An 18010-nucleotide genomic window follows, 5' to 3' on the forward strand; every position below is an offset into this window, starting at 1 on the left:
ACCAGAAGCATCATTAATGAATATCAACTTTTAGCAATAACTCTAGAAATTGTTTCTCTTTACAAAAATTTACTGCATGCTACATGTAGTTTAACACCACTTTTATACATAAAATTGAACTAATTTTCAATTTTATCAGAATAGTCCACATTGAACAAAGTTTTTTAACCAGCTTTTCATAGAGAAAATGTGCTATTAGTCTATCATTTGTCAGTTTAATATTATACATATATATAGGTACTCTTATTTCTACAGTATACAGGTCAAGTGTGGAACTGCTAAGTCAAAGGGTACATGTATTTTTTAACTGTAAATCAATATTGGATTAATTTACCACAATGGATTTAACAAGTAACACTCTCAGGAGCAAAGTGTGGGAGTGCCAGTTGCCCTGAATCTTCAAAAGTACAAGTTATCACTTAACATTTTTGTCTGAGGGTACAAAATGGTAACATACTGCTTTTGTTTGTATTTTTACAACGACAGTAACCTTGAACAGTTTTTCACATATTAACTATGTTTCTACTATGAGACTCCTGTTCATTATTCTTTCCATATTTTCCTGCAAGACTGATTGTCTTTTCTTATTATTTGGTGTATTTTGTCTATTCTGCATACAAATCCTTTGTTCACTTTAGTGTTGCAGACTGACTAGTTTTTAAAGGGCATACTGCGGGCTTAGCAGCTCAGATATTCATCATGTGGCCATGATGACAAAACTGTATACAAATAATGCTTTAGGACCACCACCAGAAGAGTACAAAAGCTAAGAGCCACACTCACAACCTGAGTAAAGTTTTTATTGCCCTTTATTTCACTTTGGCTGTTGTTTTTCTTTTTAAAGCAGACAGCCACTTCCCAACAAAGAGCAATTTGGTTCCTGCTGCAATAAAGAACTTCAGCATAACAAAAGAAATGCTTTAACTAGCAAAGACTGACAAGATCTGGTTTTTCTCCCTAAGTTTCTCCCCTTCAAAAGATGAGAGTTTACATTAAGTCCTTCAGGTCTATTTGAAAAATGCACATAAATTAGATATTTAGAAATACAAATAACAGATATTACCAGTGAAAACCTTAAGACTGCACATTTAGAAAAGATCTAGAAGATTTTAATCTACTTCTTTTAAAAAAGTTGTTCTCGGCCAGGTGCGGTGGCTCACACCTGTATGTAATCCCAGCACTTTGGGAGGCCGAGGCGGGCTGATCACCTCAGGTCAGGAGATTAAGACCAGTCTGGCCAACATGGTAAAACCCCATCTCTACTAAAAATACACAAATTAGCTGGGCGTGGTGGTGGGTGCCTGTAATTCCAGCTACTCGGGAGGCTGAGGCAGGAGGAATTGCTTGAACCCGGGAGGTGGAGGTTGCAGTGAGCCAAGATTTGTGCCACTGCACTCCAACCTGGGCGACAGAGTGAGATCCCGTCTCAAAAAAAAAAAAAAAAAAAAGAGTTGTTCTCCAAGGTGACAAATATAGAACTAGAATCCAATACCACAAAAACAGATACAATTGTGCCCATTTTTCATTCTGTCCCTCAAAGAGTAATTTAGACTGGTTCGTGTGTGTTAATTCATGAGTCATACAGGCAAAGCTGAAGCCTAATGAGGCATTCTTTGTTTAGAAGAAAGGTGATGGTAATTTGATATTAATAATTAAAACTCGAGCCTTTTTAGGAAGTTTTGTTTTTGTTTCTATTGGCATAAAAAGGATTCTTTGATATTTTAGGCTATAGTCAGTATACTATAAGCTAGCATTTAAAAACAGCCTACTAATCAAGCATTTTATTTGAAAACTGGAATAGTACTCAGAATTAAAGCACAGCCAAATCACTAATCAGAAAATAAGAGGAACAGGCCGCAAGATGGCTCACACCTGTAATCCTAGCACTTTGGGAGGCTGAGAGACAAGGATCACTTGAACCCAGAAAGTGGAGGTTGCAGTGAGCTGAGATCGTGCTACTGCACTCCAGCCAGGTTGACAGAGCCAGAGAGTTTCAAGGCAGTGGGGGGGACCCCCGAGGCAGGTCCTTCAGGAGGTATTCCAAGACAAGACATTGTTATCAAGGGAGATGACACCTCCATGCCTGTTTTACTGCCCCTAAAACCTTCCAATGGGACAAGATGTGGAGGTGGAAGACAGTCATATTGATAATCTTGACCCTGTGTGGACCTTGGTTAACGTGTGTGTGTCGCCTTCATTTTTAACAGAAAAAGTTTTAAAAGTTAAAAAATAATAATTTTAAAAGCAGAAAAAAGCTCACAGAATATTTTTGTAGAGCTATACAATTTGTGTTTTAAGCTAAGTGTTATTAAAAAAGAGTCAACAGTTAAACTTTGGGAGCCAGTGTATGGTGTTTATCAAGTCTACAGTAGTGTGCCGTCATGTCCTAAGCCTTCACATACACTCATCACTCACTCACTGACTTACACAGAGCAACTTCCAGTCCTGCAAGCTCTACTCATGGTAAGTGTCCATATGGGTGTATCTTTTTAAATCTTTTATACCATATTTTTACTGTACCTTTTTTATGTTTAGATGCACAAATTTTACCACCATTGTGTTCCAACTGCCTTCAGTGCTCAATACAGTAACATGCTATACAGGTTTGCATCCTAAAAGCAACAGGCTGTACCACATAGTCTAGATGTGTGGCAGGTTATAACTTCTAGGTCTGTGTAAGTACACTCTGATGTTCACACAGCAACAAAATCACCTAACGATGCATTTTTAGAGCATATCTGTCATGAAGCAAAGCATGACTATATTACTATTTTAAATTATCTTTTCATGGCACATCAGCCATACCAATATATTCAAGAAATTAAGCAACTAGTAACAAAAACGTGTAAAGGATATTCATTGTACAAAACAACACAGTAAATCTACTGTACAATTTAAAACAAAAATATTCAAGGACAGCTAACATTAGTGGGGAAAAGAGGAATCCTAAAATTGACAAGTGTGCTCTGGCTTAATCATATGAGTAAACTATTTAATAGAGTGTAGGAAAGTTTTTATTCTGGTATTTATCATCCTAATAAATTCAACAAAACATAAGACAAATTCAATTATCAAGTTTATCATGTTATTTAACAGCATACCTGAAATGAATCTAAATGTTGAATATAGAAGACAAAAAAATAAAGTCATATTCATCCAACTATGCAGGCAAATAAAAACTATAGGCTCAAATTTATTCTTTTATAGCATGAAAAAAATCAGTAGACACTGCAAAAATACAGAAGTAAATAAAAATTATACATGTTTTGGACAGGCGTAGTGGCTCATGTCTGTAATCCCAGGAAGGCCGAGGAGGACAGATCACCTGAGTTCAGTTCGAGACCAGTTTAGCCAACATAGCAAAACTCTGTCTCTACTAAAAATACAAGAAAATTAGCTGGGCGTGATGGCACACGCCTGTAATCCCAGCTATTCAAGAGGCTGATGCATGAGAATCATTTGAACCTGGGAGGTAGAGGCTGCAGTGAGCCGAGATCACACCACTGCACTCCGGCCTGGGTGACAGGGGCAAGACTTCGTCTCAAAAAAACAAACAAACAAACAAAAAAAAGTTTTACATGTAGCATACAGACGATGTGATGACATGGAGGATCATTGATTTGCCATCTGGGCACAACACCTCTCTCCACAATCTTATAAAGTGAAAAGTACTGAATACATGTCAGTTTTGTATCTTGCTGTTTAAAGTTAAATTGCTCTCCCATCCTCCACCATAACCAGAATCTATTACCACCTCTACCTTAATTAAAATAGAGAATAGAGCAAGAGCCTAAGTCACATCTGGCTAGCACAAAGCATCCTATAAATTTTTGTGGCACATGCTGCAGTCTTCAGTTAAGTAGATGTGGAGACACTGGCTTTTGTTTTTTTGTCTTTTGTTTGTTTGGTTTTTTTTGGAGACGTAGTCTTGCTCTGTTGCCCAGGATGGAGTGCAGTGGCGCCAATCTCGGCTCACTGAAACCTCCGCCTCGCCTCCTAGGTTCCAGGTTCAGGCGATTCTCATGTCTCAGACTCCCAAGTAGCTGGGAATACAGGCACCCACCACCACGCACAGCTAATTTTTGTATTTTTAGTGGAGATGGGGTTTCACCATATTGGCCAGACTGGTCTCGAACTCCTGGTCTCAGGTGATCCACCCACCTCGGATTCCCAAAGTGCTGGGATTATGGGCGTGAGCCACACCGCCCAGCCTGGCTTCTGATTAACATCTGTTCTGGGAAAGCCTCTAAAATTTCCAGTTTACCCATTGATCCTAGTGTAAAATCAGGTACTTACTGTATATCCTGCCCTTATGTCAAACAACCTTGATGTACACTGCAATAGCCCTACACATCCATTCTGAATTATGCTTTCCATATAGCATATAAATCCCGGATGTGGGGTGTAATGGCATGGGGATCCCGAGACACAGATACGGCTTTTGTTCCTAAGTCCCTATTAAATGTTTCTTTCTAAAAAACTGGATTTATCAGACTCTTTGGCCTCTCAGCTTCCTTGGACTCTGGAGGTACATTTGCATGGACTTGTCCATTGTGAACAGTAGACAATAATAAATGTTTATAGAGTTTTGATGTTGGAAATGTCTGAAAACCAGGTTATTATACAATAAACACTTATTTTTTCTTTTTTTCTTTTTTTTCAAAACCACAGGCCAATTATCTTCTACTGGCCTAGAAGTGGATGGAATCACCAATATGTGAATGGAACATATTGATTCTACAAGTAAAAAGCCAGAAGAAGGCAAAACTGAACTAAAGCAAAAATGGAATAGCCATCTCACACATGGGGCATTGTGATGAGCATTAAGAGCAGCCACTGGCCATGACTGTATTATAAGGAACACCACCTCAGGGGAGGTGAGGTGCCTAGGAATCTTCCTTGTGGTGTCTTCAGGGTTCTTCAAGTCCCATGAAGCAGTTAGACACCCTGAGGTACTCTGGGATAAATAGATGCTTGCTCATTGAAAAGGCAGTTATGGCGGGGGTGGTGGCTCACGCCTGTAATCCCAACACTTTGAGAGGCTGAAGGAAGATCGCTTGAGCCCAGGAGTTCAAAACCAGCCTGGGCAACATGGCGAAAACCCCATCTCTACTAAAAATACAAAAGTTAGCCAGATATGGTGGCATACACCTGTAGTTCCAGCTACTTGGGGGGCTGAGGTGGGAGGATCACTTGAGCCCAGGGGTTTGAGGCTGCAGTGAGCTATGACTGCACCACCGCATTCCAGCCTGGGCAACAGAGCAAGACGCTATCTCAAAAAACAGTAATTATTACTATTATTATAAAATAAAAATTAAAAAAGAAAATGGTGGATGTAAATCCTCTGAAATGTTTATCCCTGAAATCCATGGAGAATAAGAATTCAAAATTCCTAATATACATGTAGTTTCTACCTTTTTTTTGAGACAATCTCACTCTGTCACCCAGGCTGGAGTGCAGGGGCACGACCTCGGCTCACTGTACCCTCAAACTCCCCGGGCTCAGGATATTTCTCTGACCTAAGCCTCCTGACTAGCTGGGACTACAGGTGCACACCACCATATCTGGCTGATTTTTTTGTATTTTCTGCAGAGCTGGGGTTTCACCATGTCACCCAAGACGGACCCAAACTCCCAGGTTCAAGCAATCCACCTGCCTTGGCCTCTCAAAATGCTGGTATTATAGGCATGAACCACTGTGCCCGGCCCCTTTTTTTTCTTAAAAAATAAAGAGAAAAGGATTAGACAAAATGCAACAGAAAATGTGCAACTATTTATTGGGCAAAAAGCCTAAATACAGATAAACTAGTTTAGGAAGTTCAGGCAAGGAATGAAATTATGCTCAGATCTAAACATAAGAAATTTGCCAAACTGTAAACCAAGGTTAGAATTAAAATAATTTGCCCACAGTCACACAGCTACTGCAACTAACCAAAGACTTTCTGAAAGTAATTCTCATCTTAGAAGGAAGGAAGAAGGAACCCACCGTTATATTTTCTAGATCAAGATGCTTGTTGTGTACAGTTTCACAGAGCCTTCGGATTTTTTCTTTAATTTTGTTCATGTCTTTTTCATTCAGTAGCTTGGCTGATGAAGCATCTTGTTCCAGTTCCAAAAGTCGAATCATTAGATCTAAGCTAGCTCTATCAAGATCCATGTTCAAACGATCTCTACTCAGTATATACATGAGGGCAGCTGTACAGAGGGACAGATTCTTCAACAGGCCAAAAAAAGAAAAGAAAAAAAACTTCATGTAAGCAACTCCTGACATCTCAGGAAATAAGACTATTAATGACTTTTGTTTACAAGTTAATGCTTAAAACTTATATTACTAACCATGTTGGAAACTTCAAAAACGTTTTATTCAGCGGTCCCTCTAAAAAATTTTTTTTTTTTTTTTTTGAGATGGAGTCTTACTCTGTCGCCCAGGCTGGAGTGCAGTGGCGCAATCTCGGCTCACTGCAGCTTCCACCTCCCAGGTTCAAGCGATTCTCCTGCCTCAGCCTCCTGAGTAGCTCGGACTACTGGTGTGTGCCACCACGCCCAGCTTATTTTTTGTATTTTTTTAGTAGAGACGGGGTTTCACGGTGTTAGCCAGGATGGTCTCGATCTCCTGACTTCGTGATCCGCCCACCTCGGCCTCCCAAAATGCTGGGATAACAGGTGTGAGCCACCACGCCCGGCCCCTCTCTAAAAATATTCTGAAGAAACATGTTTAAAAAAATAAAATGCTGTTGCTTAAAATTTACCTTTCAATGGATCCTCCATATATGAATGCCTGATAGCTCTAAGAATATATGCTGAGTTACATATTTCTTAGGCTATACTATGCTAAGAGTTTATAAAACATTTTTGCAGATATGTGTGTGTGAGTATATATATATAAAAACCTTATTATGATATACCTCATTTTTTTTCCTTTTGAGACAGGGTTTCACTTTGTCATCCAGGCTGGACTGCAGTGGCACATATCAGCTCACTGTAGCCTTGACCGTCTGGACTCAAGCAATCCTCCCCACCTCAGCCTCCCAAGTAGCTGGGACAACCGGCAGGCGCCACCATGCCCAGCTGATATTTTTGTATTTTTTGTGGATGGGGTTTCACCATGTTGCCGAGGCTGGTCCTGAACACCTGAGGCCAAATGATCCACCCACCTTGGCCTCTCAAAATGCTAAGATTACAGGCGTGAGCCACCACGCCCAGCCTATTCTTTATGATACAGCAGATAGTCATATTTCAGTTTAAAATCAATAATTTAAATAATAATTTTAAATCTATATCATACCCTTAACACATTTTTTCCCCTGGAAAACACAGCTGTGTTTACATCTGTATATAAACCCAGGATGCTGAAATATACATATTTGGATTTCTTTAAAATAAACCAATCGCCAGGCGTGGTGGCTCACACCTGTAATCCCAGCACTTTGGGAGGCCAAGGTGGGCAGATCACCTGAGGTAAGGTGATCAAGACCAACCTGACAACATGGTGAAACCCCATCTCTATTAAAAATACAAAAAAATTAGGCCGGGCGCAGTGGCTCACGTCTGTAATCCCAGCACTTTGGGAGGCTGAGGCAGGTGGATCACCTAAGGTCGGGAGTTTGAGACCAGCCTGGCCAACATGATGAAACCCTGTCTCTACTAAAAATACAAAAAAAATTAGCTGGGCATGGTGACGCACCTCTGTAATCCCAGCTACTCAGGAGGCTGAGGCAGGACAATCGCTTGAACCCGGGAGGCAGAGGCTGCAGTGAGCCAAGATTGTGTCACTGCACTCCAGCCTGGGCGACAGAGCAAGACTCTCTCAAAATAAATAAAATAAAATAAAATAAAATACAAAAATTAGCCTGGCGTAGTGGCAGGAGCCTGTAGTCCCAGTTACTTGGGAGGGTGAGTTGTGAGGATCGCTTAATAAAATAAAACAATCAAGTCTGGTTGAACCAAATAATTTTTTTTTTTTTTTTTTTTTTTTTTTGAGACGGAGTCTCGCTCTGTCGCCCAGGCTGGAGTACAATGGCACCATCTCAGATCACTGCAACCTCCGCCTCCCAGGTTCCAGCAATTCTTGTGCCTCAGCCTCCTGAGTGGCTGGGATTACAGGCAAGCACCACCACGCCCGAGTAATTTTTTGCATTTTTAGTAGAGATGGGGTTTCACCATGTTGCCCAGGCTGGTCTCGAACTCCTAAACTCAGGCAATCTGCCCACCTCAGCCTCCCAAAGTGCTAGGATTATAGGCATGAGCCACCGCACCTGGCCAGGACACTCTACTTACACAATCTAAATACTGAAGGTGAAATATTTTAGATAAATGTGAATATAAAAAAAGGTCTTACATTTGGGATATTCCAACACTTGAGATATTCTGTACTTAAACCTATTTCAATATACAGAAAACACAACCATCTAAAGATTTAAACTTTGAGCCCCCAGAAGTAGAGAAGCATCAGACCAGGTGTCTGATTAAATGTTTATACAGCAAATTATTTTTGGAAATTAGGATGCATTGTAAAGGCCATGGGGGATCCACTGCCCTTAAAAATCACACTGTAATGTCTAAGTTCACTGTTAACTGCATAACAAAGCAAACGAATTCTCTTTTTTGTTTGTTTTTAAGAGATGAGGTCTCACTAGGTTTCCCAAAATGGATCTGAACTCCTGAGCTCAAGAGATCCTCCCTTAGTCTCCAGAGTAGCTAGGACTTACGAATGCACACCACCTTGCCCAGCAACAAACTAACTTCTTTTTTTTTTTTTGAGACAGAGTCTCGCTCTGTCTCCCAGGCTGGAGTGCAGTGGCACAACCTCAGATCACTACAACCTCCACCTCCCGGGTTCAAGCAATTCTCCTGCCTCAGCCTCCCAAGTAGCTGGGATTACAGGTGCCTGCCACCACACCCAGCTAATTTTTTGTATTTTTAGTAGAGTCAGGATTTTACCATGTTGGCCAGGCTGATCTCAAACTCCTGACCTGAGATGATCTGCCCACTTTGGCCTCCCAAAGTGCTGGGATTACAGGCATGAGCCACCGCGCCCAGCCCAGAAGATGCAGTATTAAATTAATTATCACCTAATCTGTATTTAGAACATAATTTCTTTAACAAAAATATAGTAAGGCCATCTCAAAATACTACTAATGCTAATAATTAGCAATGATGGTTACTTTCTTCTAATTTTGGAAAATGTTAAACCTAATAACTTTTGTTATGTTTATCATTATGCAAAAGCATCAAAGGCAAGGAAAATGAAGAAATTATTCCTTATCACAATGAGGCCATGTTCCAGATTCAACACTGGACAAAAACGTTTCTAAAAAATTAGGGCTGCATTTCCAAACCAGTTTTTTTCCATTCATTAGTATCAAATAATATTAAAAGATTCTTCTCAGTGCTTTCTGATTATAGAGAAAATTATGCTTACAAAATTCTGTATCAATATACTACATTAGCTAAGATAACAAAATACAATTTTAAAAGTATAAAATGACACATTAAGAAAAAATGTTTTCACGTTTTCATGATAAAATAAGTATTAAGCAAAAGCTTCTGGCCATAAGCACTACAAATTTAGCAAATAAAATGAACTCAATCTATAATTAGGATATATTTATAGAATATTCAGTGAAGATATTTTTGATAGCCAAATAGACTAGTAGTTTTCAACATAAGGCTTCTCAATCTCAGAAACTTAAAAAATACCTGATGGTGCTGGGAATCATCCAAGGTTTTAAAGACCATTGCTACCATCCCATGTGCTCTCAGGTGCATTCGAAAACTGGGCATGGCACATTTAGTAGCCAAGCTAATAACACTACAAGAAAATAGAGCAGGTTAGGGGGGCTGGAAACAGCTAGTACATTAGTTTTGAGTTTGTGTAATACCAAAACCAGCAAATAGGAAGGGGGTAAAAGGGTCAAAGCATTGCCCATACATGATCACAATATAAAAACCATAGGCAAAACACATTATTAAAAATATACTGATGCCTAGTGCATGATTAGGTACACTGTATTTTAAAAAAATAACGTAATTGTCTTTAGTGCATTCCTTACGTTACTACTACCACCATTAAAAGCTTAAAATCTGAGCTGCCTTTCATTAATACTTCTGATAAAAATCACAATTAATTAATTATATTTGATTGGATATACTCCAAATGACTGAAAAATTTAATCAAAATTATAGTATTCAATCAATCCATTAGGAAATACAAAAGATCATCTTTTTGAGCATTTGGGTACAAATGTAAGCGTCCAGATCACAATATGCTTAAATAAATCTAACTTATTACTTGAACATCAGAGGTAAAAAGAACTTAAAAGATTTTTTTTTAATTATTTACTTTATTTCTTTCTGGTAATTTTTTCTTTCTTGTTTTTGGAGACAGGGCCTCACCTCACTCTATCATCCAGGCTGGAGTGCAGCAGCATGATCACGGGCTCAAGCCATCCTGCCACCTCAGCCTCCCAAGTAGCTGGAACTACAGGCATATGCCACCATGACTCATTAATTTTTTATTTTTTGTAGACATGGGGTCTCACTATGTTGCCCAAGGTGGTCTCGAACTCTTGGACACACATGATCCTCCCAACTTGGCTTCCCAAAATGCTGGGATTATAGGTATGAGCCACCACACAAGGCAAAAAGATGCTTTAGCGTAATTTTTTTTTTTTTTTAAGCTCTTGAAAACTGAAGCCTATGCTATATTAAAAAGGCTCTCATCACCCAGCTTTCCCTCTTATCATGCAGAATCAAATTCTTTATAAAGAAATGGATAGCATTTTAACATATCACTGGCTATACATACTACCCCATCATAACAAAATAAAAAATGTTTGGCTTTTTGGACAACACCTAGTTGAAAAAATTTAATACAGCATGCACATAATTGTAAAATATAAAAATAAGATCTTACCTAAGGCAACGTGTGTTTAGAGGCTGAGTGCTCTTTAAGCCACTTAACAAGTACTCAATGTCATCAGTGAACTCTTGATTTTCACCAAATTCTACAACATCGTTGAAGTGCTTCACGTGCTGAACAACAGTATATAACTGCCAAGAAAAAAAAAGTTCACCCCTTTTTAACTAGGAACTAGCATATTTAAATCTATGGGCTCACTGTACTTTACATAAGTGCATAAAATAGTTCATTAGATGGCAACAAAAATATTTTTAGAACAAGGATGATGGTAGGACAAAAGAAGTTTGTGGTTCAAAACTGAGTATCAGTATACTGATATTTGTTGAAGATATTAAATGGCTAAATGTTACATACAAAAATCTATCAACATGCAGTAAACACTGTATATGGCTGCTTACTTCTTTGTCTTCTCGTCTGCATTTCAGTGCAGTAACTATATCTTGGTAGGGCTGAGTAGGTATTGTCACAGTTTTTATCACTTTGGATGGTGGTGCAGGAGCCTTAAAAACTCCATCATCTTTTTGATTTGGTTCCTTTGAAGACAGCCTCACCTATTAATAAAGGTATTAAATTAGTTGTTCTAAATAAATATATAAAAATAGGAACGTCTCATCTATCTGGCAAATTCAGCTTCAAAAAAAAGTAAATAAAGCTTTTTAAAAAGCAGGGAGCAGGGAGGCCTCTCAAAGGTCTTTAGAAATACTTTGAATTCCATGCACTAACAGGTAAGACATATGTATATCTGCACACAGAAGAACCACTCAAGGATTTCTTCTGGTCTTTTTTAAACTTTTTATTTCACACAATTTGTCGTTTGTCTCTAGTACCATTAGAAAGACTAAAGAACCACAACTGCATGCAAAAATAGCTTTCATAAGCAGAAAGGGACAGGACAGAAAAACCAGACAGAGTCAAAAGAATTTTAGTAGCACAAGAGTGTGAAGTAGTTTAGGGTAAAAATAAATAGCTATAACAGGAGCATGCTATATTACTACTAATATACAAAATGATTTCTTTATACTATCAAAAGGAGTCTAATCAGTTTAAGAAGACAGGGAACTGTACATTATACTTTAGAAAGACTTCTATCCCCAAATTTCTTATTGTTATAAAGAACTAAGTTACTTGATAACTCCAGATGACTGAAGCTTTACTGTTAACCTAGAAATCATGTATGATATTACCAGTCATTCTGGAGAAAATAAGTTGCTAAGAATCTTTTTCCTAATGTTTTGGATTGAAAAGTATTACTAGAATACAGGAAGAGATTTGTCTCTGAAAAGCAAATTAAGCACTGAAAGCCACTTAGAAATATATATAGGATGTAATACACAACATAGCTCTTATACAAACATCAAATATGGACAATCTTGCTCTTAAACACTAAATACTATAAATTCCATGAAATGTGGGTCATGAGTAACAAGAGCCTTATTTTTTATGGCTTTCATTGTTTAACCTAGCAGCACTAGAATTTCTGCTATCTTACTGACAATCCTCAGTTTTCCAATGAATTAAACTGAAACTAATAAGTTTCAGTAAAGAAAGCCAAAATAAACTGTTAAATAGAAAAGTCAAAGATTTACAAATTATGAATTAAAAGAGTAACTGCTTAATTTATAGCTTATTAAAAAACACAAAATAAATAAGTACAGTTCACTTACTGTGACACTCTGAGGTTTTACTACTGGTGGCCCAGGCAGTTCTTCTGAATCTGGATGATTCCAATGTCTGGCATTATATACAGCTTTTGTGGGTGACTAGAGAAATGAGAGAAAGATCAACTGCTTCCATCCTTATAAAAGACTCTCAACTAAAAATCATAAAGAATAATTTATATGCATAAACATGTCCTAGAAACAGCAGGATGGATACTATCTGGGAACAGTCCCACCATAATTCCCATTCTCATGTCTATGGCAAATATAATCACTGTAGTACTAGGTCACAAAATCAGTAATTAGTGCTCTGTGCAACTATGACTAACCAAGAAAAGATGGCACTTGAAAGTAAACCTAGGCCAGACATGGTGGCTCACACCTGCAATCCCAGCACTTTGGGAGGCCAAGGCGGGTGGATCACTTGAGGTCAGGAGTTTGAGACGAGCCTGGTCAACATAGTGAAACCCCATCTCTACTAAAAATAAAAAAAATTAGCTGGGCATGGTGGCAGGCATCTGTAATCCCAGCTATTTGGGAGGCTGAGGCAGGAGAATCACCTGAATCCGGAGGCAGAGGTTGCAGTGAGCTAAGACTGTGCCACTGCACTCCAGCCTGGGTGACAGAGTGAGACTCCGTCTCAAAAAAAAAAAAAAAAGGTAAACCTCTTGCTAGGCTTACTAAGTAATCAACACATTTAACTCAACATGGGCTGGGCATGATGGCTCATGCCTGTAATCCCAGCACTTTGGGAGAGTGAGGAAGGAGGATCACTTGAGTCCAGGAGTTCAAGACCAACCTGGGTGAGCCCCAGAGTTCAAGACCAACCTGGGTGACAAAGCAAGACTCCGTCTCAAAAAAATTTAAAAAATAGTAATGATGATAATAATAATAGTTCAATGGGTTCTTTGGCAAAACTTTATTCTTCCTACTACCAATTCATGCCTCACAATCTTCCAACAATGGGAATCCAGCAGTTTATGACAGACAATGCGCTCATTTAAAGCAAACCACTGCAGCCAGCTGTGTGCCACCACTCAAGAGTTCTCAAATTTTATCAAGGTAAATATAATACATATACCACATATTCCAAGACACAGTGGGATCCAAAAAAGTACCATGTAATAACATACATGATTTCTGCAGCAAAATGTTACACTAAGCAGGACAAAGATGTAAAGTCCCTCACACATCAATTGAGGTTATTGTGCTGCCCTATCAATTTACTTAAACTTCCAGGGGATTTTCAGTTTTAACACTGAATTTCCGAATTGAGAATAAATGACAGTAAACCTACAAAATCAAATCAAGTAAAAGAACAAAACCCTCACTTTCAAGAGAAAACTGCATAATTACAAAGACAAAATAGAAAGGTAACACCTCATCCTCTCTATCCTCTACAAAAGTGACGTTAAATTATGTTTTGAACTTCAAATACATGGTTTGGACAAATTAGAGATTTTCTCTTATGAAACACATCTTATTTTCAGTACAACAAAAATAAGAAGACAAGTGGAAAATCATACTTCAAGACCGTCAAAAAATCTACATTAAAAAACTTAACTATATCCCCTTACTAGCTGCACTGAAGCAACATAATTAGCATTAAGCATTAGTGTGAACTAATCGTTAGCTTTTAATATATTATCTCTAATAAAGTGGAAAAATTCTCATTTGGATTGTGTACACAAACCCATCATTCATAAATGCCAGGTTTGCATAACATGATGATGCATTAGCAATCTGAAACAATTTATGCACTCATGCAATGACTTGATCTGGCTTCCTGAGACACAACACATAAAGTGGACTGAACATAAATTTTAAAACCAACCTCTCTATTCCTTCCATTCTTTTCAAAGACCAGCTATGTAACTTGTGTGTCTGCTAGTTATGGATCCCTAATTTGAACTACCTTTAGTACCTCAAGCATACTCAGAGCCCAGGCTCTGGTAACAACAGCCTTTTGGCAAGAATGAGTGCCTCAAAGCTCAAGCATTTTACTTCTTTTTAAAAAGCATTGATTGGGCTAGGCACAGTGGCTCATGCCAGTAATTGCAGCACGCCTCTAGGCCGAGGCAGGAAGCAGATCACTTGAAGCCAGGAGTTCACAACAGCCTGGGCAAGAAAGCAAGATCCTGTCTCTACAAAAAATAAAATTAAAGAAATTAAAGAAGCAAAAAGAGAAATTATTTTTAAAAAGCACTGACTAGGCCGGGCACGGTGGCTTACGCCTGTAATCCCAGCACTTTGGGAGGCTGAGGCGGGCGGATCACGAGGTCAGGAGATTGAGACCATCCTGGTTAACACGGTGAAACCCCGTCTCTACTAAAAATACAAAAAATTAGCGGGGCACGGTGGTGGGCACCTGCAGTCCCAGCTACTTGGGAGGCTGAGGGAGGAGAATTGCTAGAACCCGGGAGTCGGAGGTTGCAGTGATCTGAGATGGTGCCATTGCACTTCAGCCTGGGCGACAGAGCGAGACTCTGTCTCAAAAAATTAAAACACTGTAAGAGTGCCTGAAAGAATATGTGCTGTCGGGTGTGGTGGCTCACGCCTGTAATCCCAGCACTTTGGGAGGCCAAGGCAGGCGGATCGACTGAGGTCAGGAGTTTGAGACCAGCCTGGCCAACAGGATGAAACCCCGTCTCTACTAAAAATACAAAAATTAGCCAGGCATGGTGGTGAGTAACTGCAGTACCAGCTACTCAGGAGGCTGAGGCGGGAGAATCAGTTGAACCCGGGAGGTGGAGGTTGCAGTGAGCCGAGATTGCGCCACTGCACTCCAGCCTGGGCGACAAAGCGAGACTGTCTTTAAAAAAAAAAAAAAAAAAGTGCTTTGTAAGTATTAAATGTTATTATTAATTGTTATGTGATGATGTGCTGCTAGGTTTAAGTCTAACACATTCGTAAGAAAACAGAAATATATAGCCTACCTACCTAATAAAGAATATGATAAACAAATGGAATAACTGATGTGTCTATTCATCTCAAAAGTCCTTGAAGCATAACAGCATACAGAATAATTGAACAATTTATATTAAAAGGTCATATTAAAGGAACTTTTGGTTATGCTGTTGAACAAGGCAATTTAGTAATACTATTAGTTTTAAAGCTTTTGATGATGTTTTACCATTTTAATACTAATAAGCAATCTAAAGGGAAGTAGTCCAATTAGAACTTTTTCTTGACTTTTATTTCAGTGTCTTACAAGATTAATATAGGGTTTATTATGGGAGGAGAGATATTGAAGACACATCTAATTAAAAATTAAAATAAGTAATATCTGTATATGGCTAACATACACATATGGCAGGGAGAGGAAGAAACAGGGAAAGAGAGAAAAGGGAACACTGACTGAGCTCTTTACATCATTCCAAAACAGTACAGTAATTCCACATGCTCCTAAGTGAACTGTGTATGTAAAGCACAAAACAGTGGTATGTCACAGGCTAATTTCACTCAGTGGAAGTGATTGTGTGTACAATATATGTAAAAGTATCATACAGCAATCAACTTTCCATGGAAAATCAAAAATCACCCTTACCATTTAGCAACCTAGCTAAATGTTAACAGAGTCATTCTGATTGCACCACCAGGCTTGTCTTTAATCTTCTTAATTTTATTCTTGTTTGAAAAGCAGATACAGGGCCAGGTACCGTGACTCATGCCTGTAATCCCAGCATTTTGGTAGGCCGAGACAGGTGGATCACCTGAGGTCAGGAGTTGGAGACCAGCCTAACCAACATGGTGAAATCCCATCTCTACTAAATACAAAAAATTAGCCAGGTGTGGTGGCAGGCACTGTAGTCCCAGCTACTTGGGAGGCTGAGGCAGGAGAATCGCTTGAACCCAGAAGGTAGAGGCTGCAGTGAGCCAAGATTGCACCATTGCACTCCAGCCTGGGCAACAGAAAAGCAGATACAGGCCGGGTGCAGTGGCTCACGCCTGTAATCCTAGCACTTTGGGAGGTCAAGGTGGGCGGATCACTTGAGGTCAGGAGTTTGAAACCAGCCTGGCCAACATGGTGAAACCCCGTCTCGCATGGTGGTAGGTGCCTGTAATCCCCGCTACTCAGGAGACTAAGGCAGGAGAATTGCTTGAACCCGGGAGGCGGAGGTTGCAGTGAACTGAGATCGTGCCATTGCACTCCACCCTGAGCAACAAAAGCGAAACTCTGTCTCGGAAAAAAAAAAAAAAGAAAGAAAGAAAAGCAGATACAGCATATAAACCAGATACCTAAACTTTTTTCTGTATTAAAAAAAAAAAAAATTGTGGCTAAGCATGGTAGCTCTCACCCATAATCCCAGCAAGTTGGGAGGCCAAGGGAGACAGATGTCTTGCGCCCAGGAGTTTGAGACAGCCTGTGCAACACGGTGAAACTCAGTCTCTACAAAAAATACAAAAATTAGCTGGGAATGGTGGCACGTGCCTGTGGTCCCAGCTACTCGAGACGCTGAGGTGGGAGGATCACCTCCTGAGTCCAGGAAGTGGAGGCTGCAGTGAGCCAAGATCACACCACTGCACTCCAGCCTGGGTGACAGAGCGAGATCCTGTCTCCAAAAAAAAAGGATGGATTCTGTGTGCTAGGTAAATTAATGAGAAAAATACTTAGAACAAAATAAGCAAAAAGTTCATAATAATAATCTAACATTCTAAATATTCAGAACCATTTTAGCATATTTCAATACTAGTAATCTTAAATATATTATTCTTTTGTATTCAGTGCTCCAGGGGCATAAGCAAGAAAAACCTCAAATGTGACATTCCATTAAAGCTAAAGAAAAAATATTCCACTGACAAACTGATGGGGCATTTCTTCATGAGAGATAATATAGTTTCTATAAAAACAATGGATAAAAGTTGGTTTTTACAATAACACCACAAAGGTTGTTGTTAACAGACTGGATTACTGAATCACAACTATAAACCAGAGGAAAAGGCCGGGCGTGGTGGCTCACGTCTGTAATCCCAGCACTTTGGGAGGCCGAGGTGGGCAGACCACTTGAGGTCAGGAGTTTGAGACCAGGCTGTCCAACATAGTGAAACCCCATCTCTACTAAAAATACAAAAAAATTAGCCGGGTGTGGTGGCACACATCTGTAATTCCAGCTACCCCGGGAGGCTGAGGAAGGAGAATCACTTGAGCCTTGGGAGATGGAGGTTGCAGTGAGCCAAGACTGCACCACTGCACTACAGCCTGGGTGACAGAGTGACACTCCATCTCAAAAAAACAAAAACAAACAAAAAAAACAAAACAACAACAACAAAAACAGAGGAAAGAAAGCATTCCTTCCTGAAAATCTAAGAGGAAATGACATGTTATCCCCCACTGGGCTGGCTCATAAAAGCCAGGAAAAAAAGGAATGGGTTTCTTTTGTTCTTGTTTTGTTTTGTTTTTGAGACAAAGTTTCTCGCTCTTACTGCCCAGG

General features: G+C 39.3%; 1 protein-coding gene across 2 annotated transcripts in view, besides 1 other annotated feature; it reads right to left on the reverse strand.

Annotated features, from left to right (window-relative positions):
• WAPL (WAPL cohesin release factor) overlaps nucleotides 1-18010 on the reverse strand; it is an 86537-nt gene that overhangs the window by 26038 nt on the left and 42489 nt on the right. For both annotated transcript variants that reach the window (NM_001318328.2, NM_015045.5), the window contains exons 5-9: nucleotides 12585-12680; nucleotides 11319-11471; nucleotides 10915-11051; nucleotides 9699-9810; nucleotides 5986-6213 (exon numbers count right to left, since the gene is read on the reverse strand). In NM_001318328.2, the coding sequence (NP_001305257.1) occupies nucleotides 5986-6213; nucleotides 9699-9810; nucleotides 10915-11051; nucleotides 11319-11471; nucleotides 12585-12680 (726 nt within the window). The remainder of the gene's footprint in view (nucleotides 1-5985; nucleotides 6214-9698; nucleotides 9811-10914; nucleotides 11052-11318; nucleotides 11472-12584; nucleotides 12681-18010) is intronic.
• Nucleotides 594-1200: an enhancer, noted in NCBI's record as "OCT4-NANOG-H3K27ac hESC enhancer chr10:88221644-88222250 (GRCh37/hg19 assembly coordinates)". NCBI's record gives its function as "activates a minimal SCP1, AML or CMV promoter by ChIP-STARR-seq in naive H9 embryonic stem cells {active_cell/tissue: H9 hESC(naive)}" and the evidence as "EXISTENCE:reporter gene assay evidence [ECO:0000049][PMID:30033119]".

Source organism: Homo sapiens, chromosome 10, assembly GCF_000001405.40.
Source record: "Homo sapiens chromosome 10, GRCh38.p14 Primary Assembly".
Classification (NCBI taxonomy): Eukaryota; Metazoa; Chordata; class Mammalia; order Primates; family Hominidae; genus Homo; species Homo sapiens.